The 20,373-nt window shown below is 48.9% G+C and overlaps 2 protein-coding genes and 1 non-coding gene across 31 annotated transcripts in view, besides 1 other annotated feature; 1 reads left to right on the top strand and 2 right to left on the bottom strand.

Moving 5' to 3' along the window:
* The window catches only part of PFKFB1 (6-phosphofructo-2-kinase/fructose-2,6-biphosphatase 1), a 65,829-nt gene extending 60,373 nt beyond the window's left edge, over positions 1–5,456 (top strand). For 9 of the 10 annotated variants that reach the window (NR_073450.2, NM_001271805.2, XM_047442158.1 and 6 more), the window contains 4 exons: positions 693–822; positions 3,408–3,470; positions 4,532–4,596; positions 4,955–5,456. Coding sequence is in view for 9 of the 10 variants with exons in the window: in NM_001271805.2 (NP_001258734.1) it covers positions 693–822; positions 3,408–3,470; positions 4,532–4,596; positions 4,955–5,014 (318 nt within the window). In the remaining variant the exon portion in view is untranslated. The other variant, XM_017029577.2, reaches the window with a different exon arrangement.
* Positions 2,294–2,455: a silencer, noted in NCBI's record as "fragment chrX:54962395-54962556 (GRCh37/hg19 assembly coordinates)". NCBI's record gives its function as "represses an EF-1alpha promoter that drives an FKBP-Casp9 reporter gene in an ReSE screen in HepG2 liver carcinoma cells {active_cell/tissue: HepG2}" and the evidence as "EXISTENCE:reporter gene assay evidence [ECO:0000049][PMID:32094911]".
* TRO (trophinin) lies at positions 6,986–17,593 on the bottom strand. 20 transcript variants are annotated; one of them, NR_073148.2, is made up of 14 exons: positions 17,539–17,593; positions 16,126–16,199; positions 14,649–15,839; positions 13,862–13,966; positions 13,684–13,747; positions 13,349–13,428; positions 12,734–12,825; positions 11,928–12,007; positions 11,792–11,834; positions 11,312–11,374; positions 10,636–10,750; positions 9,707–9,814; positions 7,386–7,676; positions 6,986–7,213 (listed from the first exon to the last, which is right to left on the bottom strand). NR_073148.2 is itself a non-coding variant. In XM_017029770.2 (13 exons), the coding sequence occupies exons 2-13, from the start codon at positions 16,168–16,170 to the stop codon at positions 7,079–7,081; spliced, it is 2,121 nt and encodes a 706-aa protein (XP_016885259.1). In that variant the 5' UTR covers positions 16,171–16,199; positions 17,452–17,593; the 3' UTR covers positions 6,986–7,078. The 20 variants fall into 20 exon arrangements, 18 of the variants coding, with proteins under 18 accessions (XP_016885259.1, XP_016885258.1, NP_001034794.1 ...); NR_073149.2 differs by lacking the exon at positions 14,649–15,839; XM_017029770.2 differs by lacking the exon at positions 7,386–7,676 and having other exon boundaries at positions 17,452–17,593.
* On the bottom strand, positions 10,982–11,112 carry SNORA11G (small nucleolar RNA, H/ACA box 11G). The gene has a single exon (NR_145717.2). It is a non-coding gene; the product is annotated as a small nucleolar RNA, H/ACA box 11G (small nucleolar RNA).

Below are 20,373 nucleotides of genomic sequence, written 5' to 3'. Positions count from 1 at the left end.
CCATTTACATTTAAGGTTAATATTGTTATGTGTGAATTTGATACAGGAGGATTTTCACTTATTTCCCCTGAGAGCCAAGGAGAGACAGACACATTTTCTTGTTGTTTCTTTTTGCTTGTTAAGGAACTTTTTCTAGTTTGCACTTAGAGCGTAAAGATTTGGCCTTTGAGCATCTCAGATTTATGTGAGAGTCTCAGTCTTAACTCCCCACCTTGTGCACACCCAAGGCCTTGTCTTCTACTTCCGTACGGTTTTTAAAACTCAAAACTCTTAGTTACTATGATTGGCAAATGCCTGCAGGGCAGCTGTGGCTGCTACATCCACTTATCACTTGTTTTTTTCCGTTTTTCTCTATTTTGGGGCCCTATATTTATAAAATTTTCTTTATTTTTGTGAAAGGTCAGCAGTGCATTTAAGAAGACAATTTGCAGTGGGGAGTTGTATTGTTGTTATTGTTATTTAGTCCACTGTATTGATACATTTATTTGGTCCACTATATTGATAGCCCCCATTTAGCAGATAATGAAACTAAGACCCTAAGAAGGAAGTGAGTTGCCTAAGGTCATACTGGTGGGTCAACAATTGAACTGGCACTGGAACCAAATGTTCTTGATTCCTAGTTTAGAGTTCTTCCCCTCTGGGCAAATGTGCCTCATCTTCCTTTCTCACTCAAGTATCTCTCTTACGTTTAGTCCTATGAGGATCTGGTTCAGCGTCTGGAGCCAGTGATAATGGAGCTAGAACGACAGGAGAATGTACTGGTGATCTGCCACCAGGCTGTCATGCGGTGCCTCCTGGCCTATTTCCTGGATAAAAGTTCAGGTACTACCCTCATCTCTGCTTTGGGAATGTTTGATGGTATTTGAGACACTGACACCAACAATTAGATATCTATATCTTAGTAGTTAAGAGAAGAGTATCTAGAACAAGGATGCCTAGGTTCAGATTCTTTCTCTTTCACATACTAGCTGTACTGCCTTTCACAAATTTCTTTAACTTCTCTGGCCTCAGTGTCCTCATCTGTAAAATGGGGAGAATAATGATGAATTTTAAATAACATAAGTAAAAAGTTTAGAACAGTTCATGACACATTGTGTGGGCTATATATTAACTGCTATTATTAGTATAGTATTATTCTTAGCTAACATTTTCAAAGCCAACGTTAACAGTCTGCCTCAATCTGGAAAAGATGAGCTAGTATTTCTGTGAAGCATGCTACCATCAGGTGATAGTAGGGCCTTTCATAGCTTCATGATCCTGATTACAAGTTTCTGTCCTTGCTATAGGGGTAATTTCCCCAAGATAGTGATGTTTTCATTTTAAATTGTTTTTCAAATGATAATTTATTTTTAAAAAAATATGTAGGCATTGCATTTACAGAGTATTTACACACTGACTGCATAGGCTGAACTGCAAACTGGGGCAGCTGGCCTGGCAAAAAAAAAAAAACTGTTATATCACTTTCAGGCATGAGATTCCATTTCCAATGTGGATGCTGATGTGTTAGCATTTCCAGGATATTTTTAAGGTGTCTCAGAGCAATGCAAAATTATATTCAATGTCTACACTGTTTTACAGTCTTGGATCTTTTCTACGATGCTAGTTTGAAAATAAAGAACACTGTAATATGGAGTCATCCAGAATTGGAACCCAGGGCACTTGAGAACTTGACATTAAATAAGGAATTTCCTCTGCCTGGTCCTCAGTTTCCTCACTGGAAATAGGTGATAGGATGTGCGGTGGGGGTCCTTGCACTGGTAGATTTCTCTCTGTTCACATCTTTACTTTTCAGGGCAATGTTTTGAGACCATGAGGCAGGTGCTGTAACTCCCATTGTCCAGATGAGGAAATGGGAGACCCAGAAAGGTGAAGTGACTGGCACAAGGTCATGGGGCTCAGAGTGTGAGGGATAGACATTGATCCCAGGTACATGCCAGAGGACTTCCCGTCTCAGACATGTGTGGAGTGCTTTTTACACACAGGCTACCTGTCCTGGGAGCCAGACAGGGCAGCACTGGACAGATGTTCTCACCCCCCCACCCACCCCATTACTTAGGTGAATGCTGGAACAAGGCCCAGAGAGATGATGTGACTGAGAATGCAGACCCACAGAACATCAGGGCTGGGGCACCCTCAGAGTACATCTAGTCCAATCCTGTCCTGTGAAATGGGAACACTGAGGACCAGAGAGAGAAGAGCCCGGGCCAAGGTCATTAGTGGAGGCAGTGGCAGAGCTGGGTCAGAGATCTCAGGCAAGTCACTTCCCTTCTCCGAGTCTGTTTCCTCAAGTGTACAAGGAGGGTGTACAGTAGTACCTCAATCTAGCTTTAAGGGTGTCATGAGGTAGTGGGCAAAACACCCTTGGCCCAGGGCCTGATGATGACAAAAACAAGGAGGAGCAGCAGGATGGATGCCCAGGAAGGAAAAAAGCCAACCTAATGTCTCAGGAGGCTGGGAGGGCAGTGGCAGACCTCAGAAACCTAGGGTGGAACCTGCTGTTGAGGGAAGCCATGAGGGTCGGTGATCCTGCAAAATGAAGGGAAATGGGTAGCGTTATGTGCAGGTGGGCAGGAAAGTGGGTGTCAGGAGAGAGTGCCTAGCAGGTGGGTTTATCACCCCCAGGACACTGCAAGCCCCTGGATGGCAGGGGCAGTTGACAGTAGGGGCCAGTGCATGCATTCTGGCCTCACAGGGTCCCAGGTTCAAGGCCTTGCTCTGCTGCTTCCTGGCTGTGTGACTTGCGGAGAGCATTTTCCCTCTCAAGGCCTCAGTTGGCTGAGACCATGAAATGGGCTTACTGTCCCCACCTCTTGGGCTTGCCTGAGAAATGGAAACATAGACCCAGACAAGAATGCATATGAATATTCAGAACAACTTTATGCATAATGTCAATAACTGGAAACAAGTGAATGCACAAATGCTTGTCCATCACCAGGCCTGAGGCAGGGATGATCAGAGGGAGCGGGCCAGGCTGGGAGAAGGCTGTGGGAGCTGTCCACTGCCACAGCAGGGTCTCAAAAAACACTTGCTGACGTGAACTGTGGGCCTTTGTGGTGTGGGGTCTGCTGAAGGCCCCAGGCTTGGGGCGGGAGAGAAGCCTGCCTGGGTCTCATTTGTCCTGTGAGTGAGGTGGTGGCCGTCTCCAGGGTGGCCGGCCCAACCCTCCTGCAGGACACCCAGTCCAGTCTACCACCATTTTCCAAGGCATTCCTGCCTCCCTGCTCTCCTCCTCTCTTCCCAGGTGCTCTCAGTGCTGCCCCTGCAGGGTGTGGGGAGTGGGCCCCTGGTGAGGCCCCACCACGGCAAGGGGACATGGAATGGGGAGCATCCAGCAAGCCTGGGGGCCTGGGGAGGCTGTGTCCTGGCCAGCACCCTGCCTCTGAGGGCTGCTTCCTGTTCCTTTCTAGATGAGCTTCCATATCTCAAGTGCCCTCTGCACACAGTGCTCAAACTCACTCCTGTGGCTTATGGTAAGTACTCCCACCCTGATCAAAGGACAGGCATATAGAGGCTATGAGCATGGCCCTAGTGCCTACCATTTGCCCAGAAGAGTCCTGCAGGAGGTTTCCTGGGTGGGTGTCCTGCAGGAGGTTCCCTTAGTGGGTGGTGGGGGTGGGACTGATGGTAGTAGGATAACAGGGAAAGAGTAGGATGGTTTCTAAATCTGGGGCTGGCTCTGACTCTGTGTCTTTGCCAGAGCACCCAGCACAGAGCACCAAGCTGTGGAAGGGGGATTCCCCAAAGGGGACCAGAGGAAAATTATAGGTTAGGGCCGTATTGGAGAAAGAGCACAAAGACCAGCCTGGGCAGTTTAGGGTCTTTCTTGGGACATTAGCTATGAAAGGTTCATGAACAGGGGAGGGACAGAATCAAATCTATTCTGGGGTGCGAACAGGGCAGATGACCTACTGAAGCCTGGAGTAAGGTGCAGTCCACAGGGATGAAGCTAAGGGAGCTTCCACAGGCATTAGGCCCCCTCTGTCAGCCCCAAGCCCCAATGATGCACCCTCATCCGTCTTCAGGTTTCCTAAAACTCCCAGGTGAACTTCCATACTCCTGGTGTTGCCACAACCACATTGTCCTCCAGATAAACTTTGCCTGGCACTGATCGCCCAAGGCAGTGGCCCCAGGACTCTTCCACCTCTTCACCACCTAACACGGCTTGGAGGATCCGCAGAGCTACATCAATATTACATAGATGAGACTGCTGTCCTGCGGACCTCAAGAGCTGTGGGCAGCCAGAGTTCATCTCTCATCTCCATCCCCATTTACAAATGAGCACCTGAAGCTCAGCGAACTAAGACTGTTAGGGGCAGAGGTGACAGGATACCCTGTTGGCTGCCTCTTAGGCCTGGTGTCTTCCCCACACATCACATAGCTGTCTAAATTCTCCTCCATACAGGCGAGTCATGATCTGTACACAGTATGAAGCTGGGGGTGTGGCTGGTGATGGGGGAGGGGAGGTGATACCTCAGGGAAGACCTGTGCCTACCTTGGGGGCCTATGGACAGATGGATTGTTCTTTTCTAAGGCTGCAAAGTGGAATCCATCTACCTGAATGTGGAGGCCGTGAACACACACCGGGAGAAGCCTGAGGTAGGTGGGGGACTCCATGGCCCAAGCTGGCTGTGGACACAGCACATGGTGAAAGCACCTTATCCACAGAAAGGCTGCCCCAACCCCACCAAGCCTGGGTGTTTTGCACCAACAGATGGAGCAAACAGCACCCAGAAATGCAGAAACCACAACCCAGACACGAGGCACCATGGAGATGCAAGGCTGGGGCAATTCCCGCCTAAAAGGCCTCAGGCTGAGATTCCCCCAGGCCTACCTGAGGGTCAGGATCCGGGCCTGGCTGAAAGAGGGGAGCCTGGCAATGAAGACAAGAGGCAGGGGAGAGGTTGGGGCCCTGCACTGCTGTCTCCTTCCTATTAATCCTGCGCTCTCTCCTCAGAATGTGGACATCACCCGGGAACCTGAGGAAGCCCTGGATACTGTCCCAGCCCACTACTGAGCCCTTTCCAAGAAGTCAAACTGCCTGTGTCCTCATCGCCTTCCACCTTTAGGAAATGCTATCTTTGCTCTTCTCCTACTCTGCCTTGGCCTCACTGAGGCACCCCACTTCCAGTGAAGAAGTCCTCCGCAACTCCCAAACAAGCCTCGCTTGCTGGCCGCAACCAAGGAGCTATCTAGCTCTGGAGGAAACTTTCTTTCTTAATTCCTATTCTCTGACGAATAAAGACTTACTGCCTACAAGAGGAGAGGAGGAGGTCATGGCGAGGCTTTTCCAGTTGTTCTCAAGGTACTGACCCTAATCCTGACCCAGCTCTGCTGCTGTGAGGGCATGGAATGGGTGAGGATTTCCTGGAGGGAAAAGTTCTACAGTAGCACCTCCAAAGATGGGGGAGAAGATAGGTGCCTGTGAGTTCCTGTGGGCCTTGTTCCAGCAAGGTGGCTGTGGGCATGACACTTTCATCCTTATACTCAGGGAAGAATCTGGCACTTGAGCCAAGTGCTCCTTTCTTCTCCAACTCTTGCTGCCATCCTGAGTGATTTCACTGTTTATGTGAATGATCCAACCAATACTCTGGCCTCACAGTCCCCTGACCCCCTCAACTCCAGTGATCATCTTCTCCCCTTCAACCACCTACTCCATGGATTTTGGTATCATCTCCCTGGTCTGACTTCTTAAACGTAAGCATCCAACTGTCTGACCACTGCCCACCCACTACCCCAGTCCTTACAACTCTCTGTCATCCACTGAATCCCTAGCAGTGTGCCTCCATACAGTAGGCATATATGTAGTATTTTCTTCTTTTTTTTTGAGACAGGGTCTCACTCTGTCACCCAGGCTGAAGTGCAGTGGTGCAATCTCAGCTCACTGCAGCCTCAAACTCCTGGGCTTAAGCAATCCTCCCACCTCAGCCTCTCTCACAAGGAGCTGGGACCACAGGTGCACACCACCATGCCCGGCTAATTTTCAATTATTCTGTAGAGACGAAGTCTTACTATGTTATCCAGGCTGGTCTTGAACTCCTGGGCTCAAGCAATCCTCCCATCTTGGCCTCTCCCAAAGTCCTGGGATTACAGACATGAGCCACTGTGCCCAGCCCTGTAGTATTTTTTGAATGAACAATATTTGTTGCTGTACAGCATCAAGAGCAGAGTCCTTTGAATGCTCTATTGTCCCCCAATCTATCCTTAGTGTTCTGTCCCTAACTATGTTGGATACTATGGGCCATCTCTTCAGCCACTCTCCAGGCAGCTACCATAAGCCAGGTACCAGTGACCCAGTGGTAAAGAGACAGACTCATACACTTGCTGCCTTTGTTCCCTTGTCCTTCCATCACAACCACCCAGCAAGACCTAAACCTTGTATAATCCACCTCTCCTTTTGTTGTTGTTGTTGTCTACTACAGAAGTTGCTGATCCCTGCTTGAAGCAGATCTATATTTATCTGCATCCACAGCCACCCTTAAGTCTGTTCAAAGTCAGGGTTGTCTTCTCTGGTACCCTATTCCATCCCACCTTCTCAGGGATGGGCTACTTCAGTCAATTCCTGACTCTTCCATATCTATCTCCTGTTCCTGTTAGCTTTTGCCCCACAGTCTATACAATATGCCCAAGTTTTCCTCTCCTATCCCAATTAAACCCTCCCTTGTTCTTATGTCCACCCCTAGTGACCTCTGCCCTTCCCTCCATTCTTACACCAGTGATTCAAAATCAATCTGTACTTACTGTCCAGAAGCCTCTCCGTTTGCCTTCTGCTCCAGGCTTTCCCTCTCCATATCTTTCCTCAACCTGTTATCCTCTTGCCTGCCATGCTTTCCCCAGGCCTCTATCCTGCTGAAATCATATTTGCCTTTGAGCCAAAAGCTGGAGACCCACATTCTCCAAAGAGCTATGCTGATCTCCAGCTCTTCTACGAACCCAAGATGCCACTCCACAACTACCTAAGCACATTAAAAGACAGAAAAAACTCCAATTCATTTTGCAAATTTAATGTAACTCTGATACCAAAATATGACAGCACACAGAAAGCAAACAATAAAGCAGGAACAGCAAACAGATTTTTCCATCACATGACACCCTCAGCTGATTGGCCATAACTGCCTTGACTGCTGTGTGGACAAAGATTCCAAGGATGTACTTTGGCTCCATGGGAAGGACTACTGCAATTTATTAGCGGTATCTGTAAACATGGGGAATAAATCTGAAAACAAAACAAATAGGAACACATTTTAGCACCAAATACACTGTCTTCTCATAATTCCTTAATTGCCCTCACCTTTCCACCCTGCTGTCCTGCCTTAGTGTTTCTTACAACATCTCCCAGCTCTTGTACCCATCCCTGTGGGTCCTGGCTATGGAAATATTGCAGTTACCTGAAACCTCACTAGCCATACGAGAAGCCACAGGCACCAAGACTGGCGGCTCCACTGCCAAAGCCAGCACTGGTGCTCGGTCCACCACCAAAGCCAGCACCAGTGTTTGGTCCACCGCCGAAGCCAGCTCCTGTGCTCGGTCCACCGCTGAAGCCACTGGTGCTTGGTCCACTGCAGAAGCCAACACCAGTGCTTGGTCCACCGCTGAAGCCAACAATAGAACTGGGTCCACTACTGAAGCCCGTGCTGGTGCTGGGTTCGCCAGTAAAGCCAGTGCTGGTGTTGGAACCACTGCCAAAGCCAATGATGGTACTCAGTCCTCTGTCGAAGCTGGCATTAGGCCTACTGCCAAAGCCATCGCTGGTGCTGAGGCCACCACTAAAGCCAGCACTGGTGCCAAGTGTGCTGCCGAAACTAGCATTGGTGCCCAGTCCACCACCAAAGCCATCACTAGTGACCAGTCCACCACCAAAGCCAGCACTGGTGCCCAGTCCGCCACTGAAGCCAGCACTGGTGCCCAGTCCACCACCAAAACCAGTGCTGGTGCCTGGTCCTCCACCGAAGCCAGCGCTGGTACCTAGCCCACCATCAAAGCCAGAACTTGTGCTTAGGCCACCACTGAAGCCAGCACTGGTGCCTAGGCCACCACCAAAGCCAGCACTGGTGTTCAGTCCACCACCAAATCCAGCATTGGTGCTTAACCCATTGCCAAAGCTGAAACCGGTACTGGTGCTGGGTCCATCACAAAAACTAGGGCTGGTAGCACCACTAAAGCAGGCACTGGTGCTAGGAGGGCCACCAAAGCATAGGTTAGTATTAGATGCACTGCCAAAGCAGAGGCTGGTGCTGGGAGCTCCACCAAAACAGAGGCTGGTGCCATGAGCACCACCAAAGCTGACACTGGTGCTGGGAGCAGCACCAAAGCCAATGCTGTTGCTGGGAGTACCACCGAAGTCAGCAGCGGTACTAAGTGCCCCACCGAAGCCAGCACTGGTGCTAAATGCACCGCCAAAGCCAGGGTTGGTGATTGGTGCACCACTGAAGCAAGCACTGGTGCTGACAGCACCACTGAAGCTGGCACTGGTGCTGACGGCACAGCCAAAGCTGGCATTGGTGTTGAGTGCACCACCAAAGCCAGCACTGGTGCTGGGAGAGCCACCAAAACAGACGCTGGTGCTTAGTGTACCACCAAAGTCAGTGTTGGTGCTGACAGCACCACCATAACCAGCATTGGTGTTGAGTGCACTGCCAAAGCTGACACTGGTGCCAGGAGAGCCACCAAAGCAGACACTGGTGCTTAGTGTACCGCCAAAGTCAGCACTGGTGCTCATAGCACCACCAAAACCAGTACTGGTGTTGAGCACACTGCCAAAGCTGGCACTGGTGTTGAGAGCACCACCAAAGCCAGCACCAGTGCTGGGAGAGCCATCAAAGCAGATGCTGGTACTTAGTGTACCACCAAAATTGGCACTGGTGCTGGAAGAGCCACCAAAGGAGACACTGGTGCTAAGTGTGCCTCCAAAGCCAGTGCTGGTGCAGGGAGAGCCACCGAAGCAGATACTGGTACTGAGTGTACCACCAAAGCTACCACTGGAGCTGGGAGAGCCACCAAAACAGACACTGGTGCTGAGTATGCCTCCAAAGCCAGTGCTGGTGCTAAGCGCACTACTGAAGACTGTGCTCGTTGTGGGTGCACTGCCAAAGCTGGTGCTAGTGCTGAGTACACCACTAAAGCCAGCCGTGGTGCTGAGTGTGCCTCCAAAGCCAGAGCTGGCTCCACCACTGAAAGTGGCACTGGTGCTGAGTGGGCCACTAAAACTAGAGCTGACTCCACCACTAAAGCTGGCACTGGTACAAGGCATGCCACCAAAGCTAATGCTGGCTTCACTGCTGAAACTAGTGCTGGTGCTGTGTGCACAACCAAAGCTAATGCTGGCTGCGCTGCTGAAGCTGGAGCTAGTGCTCAGTGTACCACCAAAGCTAATGCTGGCTGTATTGCTGAAGCTGGCACTGGTGCTGGGTGCAACACCAAAGGTAATGCCAGGTCCACCACTGAAGCCACCACTGGAGCTGGGTGCACCATTGAAGCTAATACTAGCACCATCGCTGAAGCCAGCCCTGGTACTAGCTCCTCTGCTGAAGTTGACGTTGGTGCTGGCATCTGCATTTTCTTGGGCTCTGGCCTCAATTTCAAATGAAAATCTGCTCCAGGCCTGAGCATCATCGCCTAACTCTTCCCTTGTTAGGCAGTCGATATCCATGTCATCCCAATTCCAGGGCCCAGCCACAGCTTCCTCTCCAATCCCCATTTGGGCTCTTGCCTCAGCCCTGGCTTCAGCCTCAGCCACAGCCACAGCTGCAGCTTGGACTTCCATCTCCACTGCCTCGCGGTACTGCACAGCCCAGTCCTTGGGGTCTTTCTTCTGCACCTGAAATGGGGATGATAATCATAATAAGAAAACAACCCTAGTAATCATGTATTAACCTACGGGCTTTGTATTAAACTAGTAGCAATACTTTTTTAAACTTCTCAGTTATTGGGGCTCTATCATGGGTCAGTTCTGAACTCCAGTTTCAGCTCTGCTGACTTACGTGCTATATGACCTTGGACAAGTTACTTAACCTCACTTAGCCTAAGTGTCTTTATAATTACAGGAAATGATAGAGCGTAAATATGTTATGAACTGAAGGGTTGTGCCCGCCCCCAAATTCGTATGTTGAATCCCTAACACCCAGTGTGATTGTACTTGGAGATAGGGCCTTTATGGAGATAATTAAGGTTAAATGAGGCCATAAGGGTGGGGTCCTGATCAACAGGATTAGTGTCCTTATAAGAAGAGACACCAGAAAGCTTGCTCTCTTCTCTCTCACACACAAAGCCATGTGAGGACACAGCAAGAAGGCAGCCATCTGCAAGCCAGGAAGAGAGCCTTCAACAGGAACTGACCCTCGTGGACCCTGACCTAGGATTCTCGCCCTCAAGAACTATGAGAAAATAAATTTGTTTTTTAATCCACCCAGTCTATGGTATTTTGTTATGGCAGCCCATGCTGATTAATACAAAGTATGAAGAATGAATGAGATGATGTAAACTATATATCTAGCAGCACCCTGGGACATAAAGGAGGCTCCACATGTTTATATATGAGCTGCAGGCTGCTCTGTACCTGCCCATCCCTGTGCATTGCCTGCCCCAGCCAAGGGTATCCCATTGCCTTAATATGCCAAGCTCGGGCAGCTCTCCTCTTACCCTGCATGCAAACTTGAGGACTTTCATCTTGCTAGTCTCGTGGTAGGAGCGCAAGCCCCAGAAGAACTCATATTCAGGTGGTCTGCTGTTAGGGACCCTCTTGTACTCCAGGTACCTTGGAAAAAGGAAATGAAACTTGTTTCTAACCAAGCAACCCTGCTGTCTAAGCACTAGACACCAGGTGGCAACCTCCTCCAAACAAATACAAACAGCCCCTGGAGAGGGATTTCTAAGACCCTCCAGCCCCAGACTCACTACCAAACACAGTTTATGGTCTTGGCCTCCAATACTGAGCCATTTCCCACTGGCCCTGTGCAAAGCAGTCCCTTGGGCTTCTCCAGGGGAGACATGTATAGGGCATGATGTCACAGGAAGGCCAAAGTATCATGCCACCTGTGAGGAGTAAGCCCAGATTCCTGTTGGGTGTGTTGTAAACAGAGGAGCCATTCTTAAGGCCCTCTGCTCTGAGCGCACCCCACTGCAAGGGCCTTGTGTTGAGTCTGGCCCAGTCCTGGAAAGGTCTGCCCATGGGAATTTTAGACAGTATCAGTTCTAGGACACAGGATGCCCATCCCTCTAAAGCTAGTATAAGAAAGGCACTGACTAAGCACTTTCTGAACCAGATCAGTATACCCAGAACACTTCAGGGCCAGACAAAGCCCCAAACACCACTTACTTCTGCTTCACAAACTCGTCTGTGATGAGCTTCCTCACTTCCCCAAAGAGTGAATGCCTCACCCTGACAATGGGAAAAATAACCCATGAACACAGATCAGAACTGCCCAGATGAGGGCAGAGGCATTTCCCAACATGGAAGAGACCTCTCTAGCACATGGGGCAGTCTCAATGAAGTGAAGAAAGTAATGAGCACATGGCCACTAGAAGCAAGCAGTTAAGACCAGATGCCTCTTTGTCAGGGATCCCTGAAGGTCTATCTAACATCTCAGCTTAGAACAGACAGAGGACATTAAGGAGAGAGACAGCAGAGAGTTCAGGACCATTTGCCCGTCATCCACCCAGGTCAGAACCCTGGGCCCTCTACCCAGTCCAGCACCCCACCCGCTCCACCAGACCACCAGACTGATGCAATCCTAGGACCATCCTCTCTTGCCAAAGGACAACACGGACAGCAAGCGCTGAGAGAGCCCAGTCATACCCAGGGCGCAGCCCCAACTTGCGCAGCACCTCCCAGATGACAGCTGTGAGGGGAGGCAAGAGGAGACAGGGACAGAAATTGAACACATGGAATCCAGACCATGGCCGCCCATTCAGCTGCATGCCCAGCCACTCACCCTCACTGGCCTTGTTGCCATTCATAAAAATGACACTCAGAATCACCATGAGGAGACCCAGCTTGGGTGTGTCCTTGGTCCTAAGGGAATAACAGGACAGAAAGAAGGTTTATGTTTCAACAGGACAGAAAGAAGGTTTATGTTTCAGCAGCCATCCGCAAAAGATACACCAGCCAGCTCACCAGGCTAACCTCTCCCAGATTCCTCAGATACAGAATTCTGCCCAGTCTCTGCTTCCAGCTCTATGCCACCCTGGGCAAGGCACTTAGACCTTGCAAGCCTTGGTCTATTATTCAGTAAAATGGGAAAATCATATTCTCCCTTCCTCAGGTTGCCAAGAAGATGGAAGAATGGCTGTCAACCTGGTACAACACAAGCACTCAGTCAATGTGAGTCCCTTCTTTCTCTCCCAGAACCTTCAGCCCCACTGACACTCTTGCGCTTCATGCATACTGATCCAGCCACACCAGGAAGCCCTCCTTGAGAACCACTCTGTCAAAGCCAGGCCAGGCACTCCATCGGAAGAGGCAAGCAATGACAGGCCTGCTTTCCTGGGAAGCTTCTACAGAGACAGCAAACCTGACAGCAGGAATGTCCCACCCTAGGCTCCTATACCCTTCAGTCAATCATAATCAGGTGCCACTACTGTGAGCAGGGCTCCAACTATGTGCAGGTGCTGAGACAGGGCTTTTGAGACCCTGTTTTTCCTGACTCTCTAAGAGGATGGGGGAAGTAGGACAAAGAAGGGGTAGCAGCACAGATAAAAGCAGAAGCTTCCTTCCCACTCCAGCCCTTTCCCAGCTTACGTTCCCAGTATGCCTGCAGAGGATTCCTGAGTGCTGATGAGAATATACAAGCTACTTTGCTTATCAATTTCTTTCAGATTGACTCGAAACATCTGCCAAGTAAAAGAATAGCCTGTGAGATCACAAAATTCAGCTTAGGTATCAGTGAACTTTCCGGGCATCCTAAAACTCCCAGTGTACTTAGGGGGTCTGCATGTGTAAGAAGTCAGTGAGATAATGCACATAAAGCACATAGCCAAGTGCCTGGCACCCAGTAAACACACAGCAAATGTACTATTGTCATCAACATCATCTTTGTGATGAGCAGGAATCTAGGGAGACAGAAAATGGGGATACAAGGGAGAGGTGAGATCTGAAATACATGCAGAATATGTCCAACTATGAATAGAAGCTGAGACTAATTTGAGTGGCTTCTGTCCTAGCCATGTTTTCATCACTGACATGCTGTGTGACCCATGGCAAATCTACACCTCTCCCTAGGCCACTGTCTGCCCATTCACACAGTAATGGGGCTGGATTAGCATGTTTCTGTGATTCTCTCCAAAAGGGACATGTATGTCTTTGCTCGATTCAAAGCTTCCCCATTGCGCCCATCCGCCAGCACTGCCCCTTCACCTTCTCCAGAGTGTAGCTTGCTCGTTCAATGATTTCTGGGAAATATTCATCATATTCTTGGATGACATCCCTCAGCATGTCTGTAGAAAAGGAGAGGTGAGAGTAGCTGAGCTTAGCAGGGGCCACAGAGCTGCAGCCCTTTTGCCAGTCCTGTTGGGTCAGTGCAATCAGAGACCTGAAGTGAGTTAATGGGAGATGCCAGCCATGGCAGAGTGCAAGGAGGGCAGGTGTGGAGATATGACAGAACAAAGAGGCCATAAAGTGTTACTCCCAGACTATGGGAGGAGAGGGGAGTGGAGAGGAGAGCTCAAGGAGGAGGGTTGGTAGGACACTACCTGAGCGTTTGATGGGGATCTTTGTCTGGTCCTTAACCAACAGGTATTTCACCAACTTATTAGCCTGGGAGGAGAGGAATAGATGGAGAGATCTTAACATGCTTGCAGAAAACTTGGAAGGAGGCAGAGAAGAGGGCAAGTGAAGAAGAGAAGAGACTGGACAGCATTGGATTCTTACCCTTTCTTGTAAAATGGCCACATCTCGCGGTGGTGCAGGCCTCCGGCCCCATGGGATCCGCCTGTAATTACTGCCACTTCTCTCATCCCCATTCAGATGCTTGGACTTCATCATCAGAAAGAAGGAAGGTCCAGAGTCACCAGGTGAAAGAGATGGCTCTGTCTCCTCACCTTGCCTGCTCCAGACAGAAAGTCCCTCTAACCCCCTCCCTCAGCCTTGCTGTAGTGGAGCCTGATCCTGACCTTGCCATTGGCCACCCTGAGTCCTGAGCTTATCTTTCACTGTCTTCCAGGAAGGAGTTTCGTTCCTCTGCCAGGCCAGGAACAACTCAAGATAAGAGCCTAAGGGTCTTTCTCTTCCTCTGGCTACCACCAATTATGCTGGCTGGTACCTCTTGGACAAGTCACTTCATTTCTCTGAGACTCAGTTTTCTTAAGTGTAAAACTGGGACCTATGATCCCTTGTTGGTAAGAGTTACTTTCAAGACATTCAGACATACCCTGTGTAACTGTACCCAACACAAAGCCTGGCACGTGGTAACTACTATTTAAATACAAGTAGTATTACATACAGGTTGTAGCTGAGTGTATGGATGTCTTATTTCCTCACCAATCTGTGAACTGCTAGGGAGCAGAAACTATATCACCTTCTTCTCAGCATCTTCCACAGCCTATCTGAACACAGGGACTAGCTCAAAGTAAAACTTTTATAGAAGAAATGAACAAACTAGAAGGGTAGAAATGGAAAAGAAGCACAAAGTTAAGGATGGCAATGTCAGAGATCTCACCTTTCGGTTTCTTTTGCCCCGGGTCCTGGTTGTGGGCTCCAGGCTCAACTGAGCCAGATAGTCATCTGCCAGGGCCTGGACAGCAGCAGCAACCTGAGTCTCAAGGGCACTTACGTTGGTCTGAGCAGAGGCTATCTTGGCCTGGGCCCCTTGGTCAGCATTTGGAGTCTGGCTTTCAGTTGCCCGAGCCTTAGTGGCAGCCTTCCGAGCCCTAGACCCTCTCTTGACCCGCAGGGTGGCTGCCAGGGCTTGGTTTGTGACTATCTGAGTGGCAAGTGGGGCCTCAGAGATCTCAGAGACAGAATTTGGGCCCCTGCTGGCAGCCTTCTTGCCCTTGGATTTTTTGGGCCTGATAGCCACTACTGAGGCCTCAATCTGCCTGGTAGCTGCGTCAGTGACATTTAGAGCCTCTATATGCTCAGTGTCAGTATTTATGACCTTAGCAATTGTCTTCCTGGCTTTGGAGGCTTTCTTGGTTCGGATGGAGGCTGCTGTGGTGTGGATACTGGCTGTCTCATTGGTAATTTGGCCTTGGGTGGTAGCTGTATGGGTGGCAGTTGCAGCCAGCGAGACCTCGGTGGCACTAGCTATGGCCTTATTTGCAGCCTTCTTAGCCTTGGAAGCTTTCTTAGGCTTGATAGAGGTTATCAAGGCTTGGGAACTGGCTGACTCATTGGCAATTGGAGCGTGAATATTCTGTGAGATGACTGGTAGCTTTAGGACCTGCAAGGGTGACTTCAGCTGTATAGTGCCACCCTCATGGCCAGTTGGGGATTGGGAGCCTTGGGCTGCCTTGGCAGTAACTCTCTTCATCTTGTTGGCTTTCTTAGGCTGAGCAGTGACTGAAGAAGCCTGAGTATTGGTTACCTCAGTGGTAGGTAAAGCCTGGCTGATCTGGGTAATGACTGGCAGGTTTAAAGCCTGCCAAGTTATTTTGGGCTTGTTGGTGGCAATCTCATTGGCAGCTGGGACTGGAGGGGCAGCAGGTGCAGCCTTAGTAATAGTCTTTATAGGGGCCTTCTTGGTCTTGCTTTTCTTAGGCCGGTTGACAACTGGTGGGTCCATGGCCAGGGAGTCCTTGGTTGCCGCCAACAGGGTATGCATCAGCAGGACACTGTCCTCTTCTGTGGTCTCAGTCTGTATATCTGGAGGGAAGGGAAGCCCCAGGCTCCCCGGGGGAGGCAGAGGGCCCTACACACTTAGGATTACCATCCTCTGGGCCATTTGGCCTCGCTAAAGCCCATCCCTTTCCACAAAGGCCTTCCCTTCCTCTGAGCAGTGGTTAATTAAAATGGGGTAGGGAGCAAGGAAGGAATAGAGTCAGGCAGGTTTTCCTCTCCTCTCCTTCACCATGTAAGGGAGGACTGAGACGAGTTAGGCAGGGAATTATGAAACTACACGGTGGAAGGGGTCTGAAGAGCAGTAAGTGAACTCAGGATGGGGCAGATGGCCTAGAGAGAATGCAGAGAGGCCTCACCTGAAATAGAGGCACCCTATATCCGTAGTCATTTCTCCTATCCATCTTTCTGGGAGGCCGAGTAACAGGTGAGCCTGAGGGGAATGGGCCTGAGTTAGAGAATGAGAGGGAGGGGGAGATTCATCAGACATCTCACCTATCCTGACTTAGGGGAGTCTCATGTAACCTTGGGCCCTAATCCCTTCAACTCCTGGGTTTTCATACCTAAAAAACCCAGGCCATCTGGTTTCCAAGGCCCAGCTCCTTTTGCCTCCGAGAGAGTCAGTTCTACGACCCCACCCCTTTACACGCCCCCTCCGCAACTCGATAGTGCGCATGCGCACCGACTAGAGGCGCCCCCACCCCCCATCTTAGGCCCACCTCTATCCCAAAAGAACCATTCTTCAATGCCCTCCGCGCGCATGCGCCTTGGTAAACCGGACAGTTTCTAACCAGCTCAATCCCACATCTGCCCCCTGCTCTCAGAGCAACAGAACATCTTGGCGCCACCCCGACCCACTCTTTCTAACTGCATCACATCTCGATCCAACCCTTCCCCCAACACTAGCCCCCTCCCTCCGCTCTGCAGTACCACTCCGCACCGCCCCTACCCCAACACCGCCCATCTCTCCTCTGCGGTACTGCCACGCACCGCCCCTTCCCAATACACCCCCCTCCCTCCGCTCTGCAGCATTTCTCTTCATCTTCCCTTCCTTTAATAAGCCCCCTCCCTCCGCTCTGCGGTACGTCTCTGCACCACCCCTTCCCCAACCAACACCACTCCCCCCTCTTTCCACGTCTGCAAGTGTGCAGCTCCGCCCTTTCTGCAACATGAATACCTCACCCCCAAATCCAACTGTATGAACCTTCTGTGTATTCCTGTTCTCAAACCCTACCAGGTCCTGTCTCTTCCCTTTCAAACCGGAACCAACCGGGTCATATCCCCTCCTTTCTCCTGTCTGAGTCTGGTCCTTTCCGTTGCTCAAAAGGGATGCTGCCCACTCTTATCTCTGGGTCCCGATCCCTCCATTCTGTGGCCCAAACGGGGTACTGCCCCCTTTCTCCAGCCTAAACGGAGTCCTGCCGTCTCCTATCTCCCTCCCGAACTGTGTGTATCCTCCTCCCCTCTTGCTACCGTCTGAAGGATTTCTCGATCCTTCCTTTCTGCGGTCCCAACTAGGTCTGCATCCCTCCCTTTCACGGCCCGAACCGAGTCCAGATCGTTACTTTCTGTGGCCCAAAGGGGATTCTGCCTCCTACTTCCTCCCGTGCGAACTGGGTCCAGGCACCGCTAAAGGCGACTTTGATGCGGTTAGGTCCCAAACCTCCAGCAGGTTTTCTTCAAACCTTAGGGGCGTGTGGAGTCAGGCACGTCGAAGCCGCAGCCAGGAAGCCCCCACAGGGTCTTCACTAAAGCCAGGTACCTCAGCTCACCTCGTCTTCTTGAATCCAGAAGGCGTCTGCTCTCTCCAAGCCTCTCCTTGTGTCTGAGCCTATCCCCCTCCCTGGCCGGAAGTGGTCCTGCCTCTTTCCGCCTCCAGAGGGGGGTCTCCGTTCCTGCCTGTCAGTCTCCTCCCCTCCATACCTACTTTCAACTTTCCATTCTCCTCAATGTAGCTCCCTTTTTCTTCTTACTACCCCTATTCAGTTATCACTCCCTCTTATTCTCCATTTGACTTCTCTATTCCCCACTCTGTATCTCCGTTCCTATTTGATTCTCCTGTTTCCCCTAGGAGGAATGTAGTTCTCTGAACTCCCACACCAACCCTTCCTACAGACCCTCTATCCCAACACTATTTACATAGTGTTGTTATACCTTGTGTCTATGTCTCTCTTCCCTAGAGCTGCTCTGGAGCAGGGGACTAGGTCATATTCATTTCTGTTTTTCAAGTGTTACCACATTAAAACATTTAGAGGTTCTAAACACTAAAAGATAGGGTGCCCGTCCATCTTATGCAATTCAGAATAAAAACAGTAATGTATAAAAATCTATGAAAAGTTTTTATTGATCCCACAATGACTATATTGATGTTTTAACAATATCAGTTTGTACTTAGACTGTCTCTTGTGACATGGTGCACTGTGCCCCCATGCAGAAAACAATTCATGACATTTATCTATTCCATCAATCATTCAAAAGAGAGCAAGGATAACTACACATATGTCAAATAAAATAGACTTAAAGTCAAAAACCATAAAAGATCTTAAAGGTCATTATATAATGATAATGAGATAAATTCATCGTGAATATCGAATAATTATAAACATATTTAATATATGCACCCAACATAGAAGCACCTAAATATATAAAACAAATATTAATAGATCTGAAGGGAGAAGTAGACTGCAATACAATAATGGTAGGAGACTTCAAGACCCCATCTTCAACAATTCACAGATCATCCAGACAGAAAATCGATAGGGAAACATTGAACTTGAAATACACTTTAGACAAAAAGGACCTACGGAATATTTTATCCAATAGAATATATAATATTCTCAAGCACACATAGAAAATTCTCCAGGATAGATCATAAGTTAGGCCAAAAACAAGTCTTTTTTATTTTATTTTATTATTATTCTACTTTAAGTTTTAGGGTACATGTGCACAATGTGCAGGTTAGTTACATATGTATACATGTGCCATGCTGGGGTGCTGCACCCATTAACTCGTCATTTAGCATTAGGTATATCTCCTAATGCTATCCCTCCCCCCTCCCCCCACCCCACAACAGTCCCCAGAGTGTGATGTTCCCCTTCCTGTGTCCATGTGTTCTCATTGTTCAATTCCCACCTATGAGTGAGAATATGCGGTGTTTGGTTTTTTGTCCTTGCAGTAGTTTACTGAGAATGATGATTTCCAATTTCATCCATGACCCTACAAAGGACATGAACTCATCATTTTTATGGCTGCATAGTATTCCATGGTGTATATGTGCCACATTTTCTTAATCCAGTCTATCGTTGTTGGACATTCGGGTTGGTTCCAAGTCTCTGCTATTGTGAATAATGCCGCAATAAACATATGTGTGCGTGTGTCTTTATAGCAGCATGATTTATAGTCCTTTGGGTGTATACCCAGTAATAGGATGCCTGGGTCAAATGGTATTTCTAGTTCTAGATCCCTGAGGAATCACCACACTGACTTCCACAATGGTTGAACTAGTTTCCAGTCCCACCAACAGTGTAAAAGTGTTCCTATTTCTCCACATCCTCTCCAGCACCTGTTGTTTCCTGACTTTTTAATGATTGCCACTCTAACTGGTGTGAGATGGTATCTCATTGTGGTTTTGATTTGCCTTTCTCTGACGGCCAGTGATGGTGAGCATTTTTTCATGTGTTTTTTGGCTGCATAAATGTCTTCTTTTGAGAAGTGTCTATTCATGTCCTTCACCTACTTTTTGATGGGGTTGTTTGTTTTTTTCTTGTCAATTTGTTTGAGTTCATTGTAGATTCTGGATGTTAGCCCTTTGTCTGATGAGTAGGTTGCAAAAATTTTCTCCCAGTCTGTAAGTTGCCTGTTCACTCTGATGGTAGTTTCTTTTGCTGTGCAGAAGCTCTTGAGTTAAATTAGATCCCACTTGTCAATTTTGGCTTTTGTTGCCATTGCTTTTGGTGTTTTAGACATGAAGTCCTTGCCCATGCCTATGTCCTGAATGGTAATGCCTAGGTTTTCTTCTAGGGTTTTTATGGTTTTAGGTCTAACGTTTAAGTCTTTCATCCATCTTGAATTAATTTTTGTATAAGGTGTAAGGAAGGGATCCAGTTTCAGCTTTCTACATATGGCTAGCCAGTTTTCCCAGCACCGTTTATTAAATAGGGAATCCTTTCCCCATTGCTTGTTTTTCTCAGGTTTGTCAAAGATCAGATAGTTGTAGATATGCGGCATTATTTCTGAGGGCTCTGTTCTGTTCCATTGATCTGTATCTCTGTTTTGGTACTAGTACCATGCTGTTTTGGTTACTCTAGCCTTGTAGTATAGTTTGAAGTCAGGTAGCGAGATGCCCCCAGCTTTGTTCTTTTGGCTTAGGATTGACTTGGTGATGCGGGCTCTTTTTTGGTTCCATATGAACTTTAAAGTAGTTTTTCCAATTCTGTGAAGAAAGTCATTGGTAGCTTGATGGGGATGACATTGAATCTATAAATTACCTTGGGCAGTATGGCCATTTTCACGATATTGATTCTTCCTAGCCATGAGCATGGAATGTTCTTCCATTTCTTTGTATCCTCTTTTATTTCATTGAGCAGTGGTTTGTAGTTCTCCTTGAA

The sequence above is a fragment of the Homo sapiens genome, chromosome X (assembly GCF_000001405.40).
Source record: "Homo sapiens chromosome X, GRCh38.p14 Primary Assembly".
Classification (NCBI taxonomy): domain Eukaryota; kingdom Metazoa; phylum Chordata; class Mammalia; order Primates; family Hominidae; genus Homo; species Homo sapiens.
This window is presented reverse-complemented; position numbering and strand designations above follow the sequence as displayed.

Excerpts from the sequence above, each read along its gene's own strand:
- TRO (NM_001039705.3), bottom strand. The coding sequence starts at position 16,170 with ATGGATAGGAGAAATGACTACGGATATAGGGTGCCTCTATTTCAG. Across the intron at positions 13,967-14,648 it reads GGGGCAAAAGAAACCGAAAG|TCCAAGCATCTGAATGGGGA; the intron begins GTGAGATCTCTG and ends CTGATGATGAAG. Across the intron at positions 12,008-12,733 it reads TCTGCAGGCATACTGGGAAC|GACCAAGGACACACCCAAGC; the intron begins GTAAGCTGGGAA and ends TTATTCCCTTAG.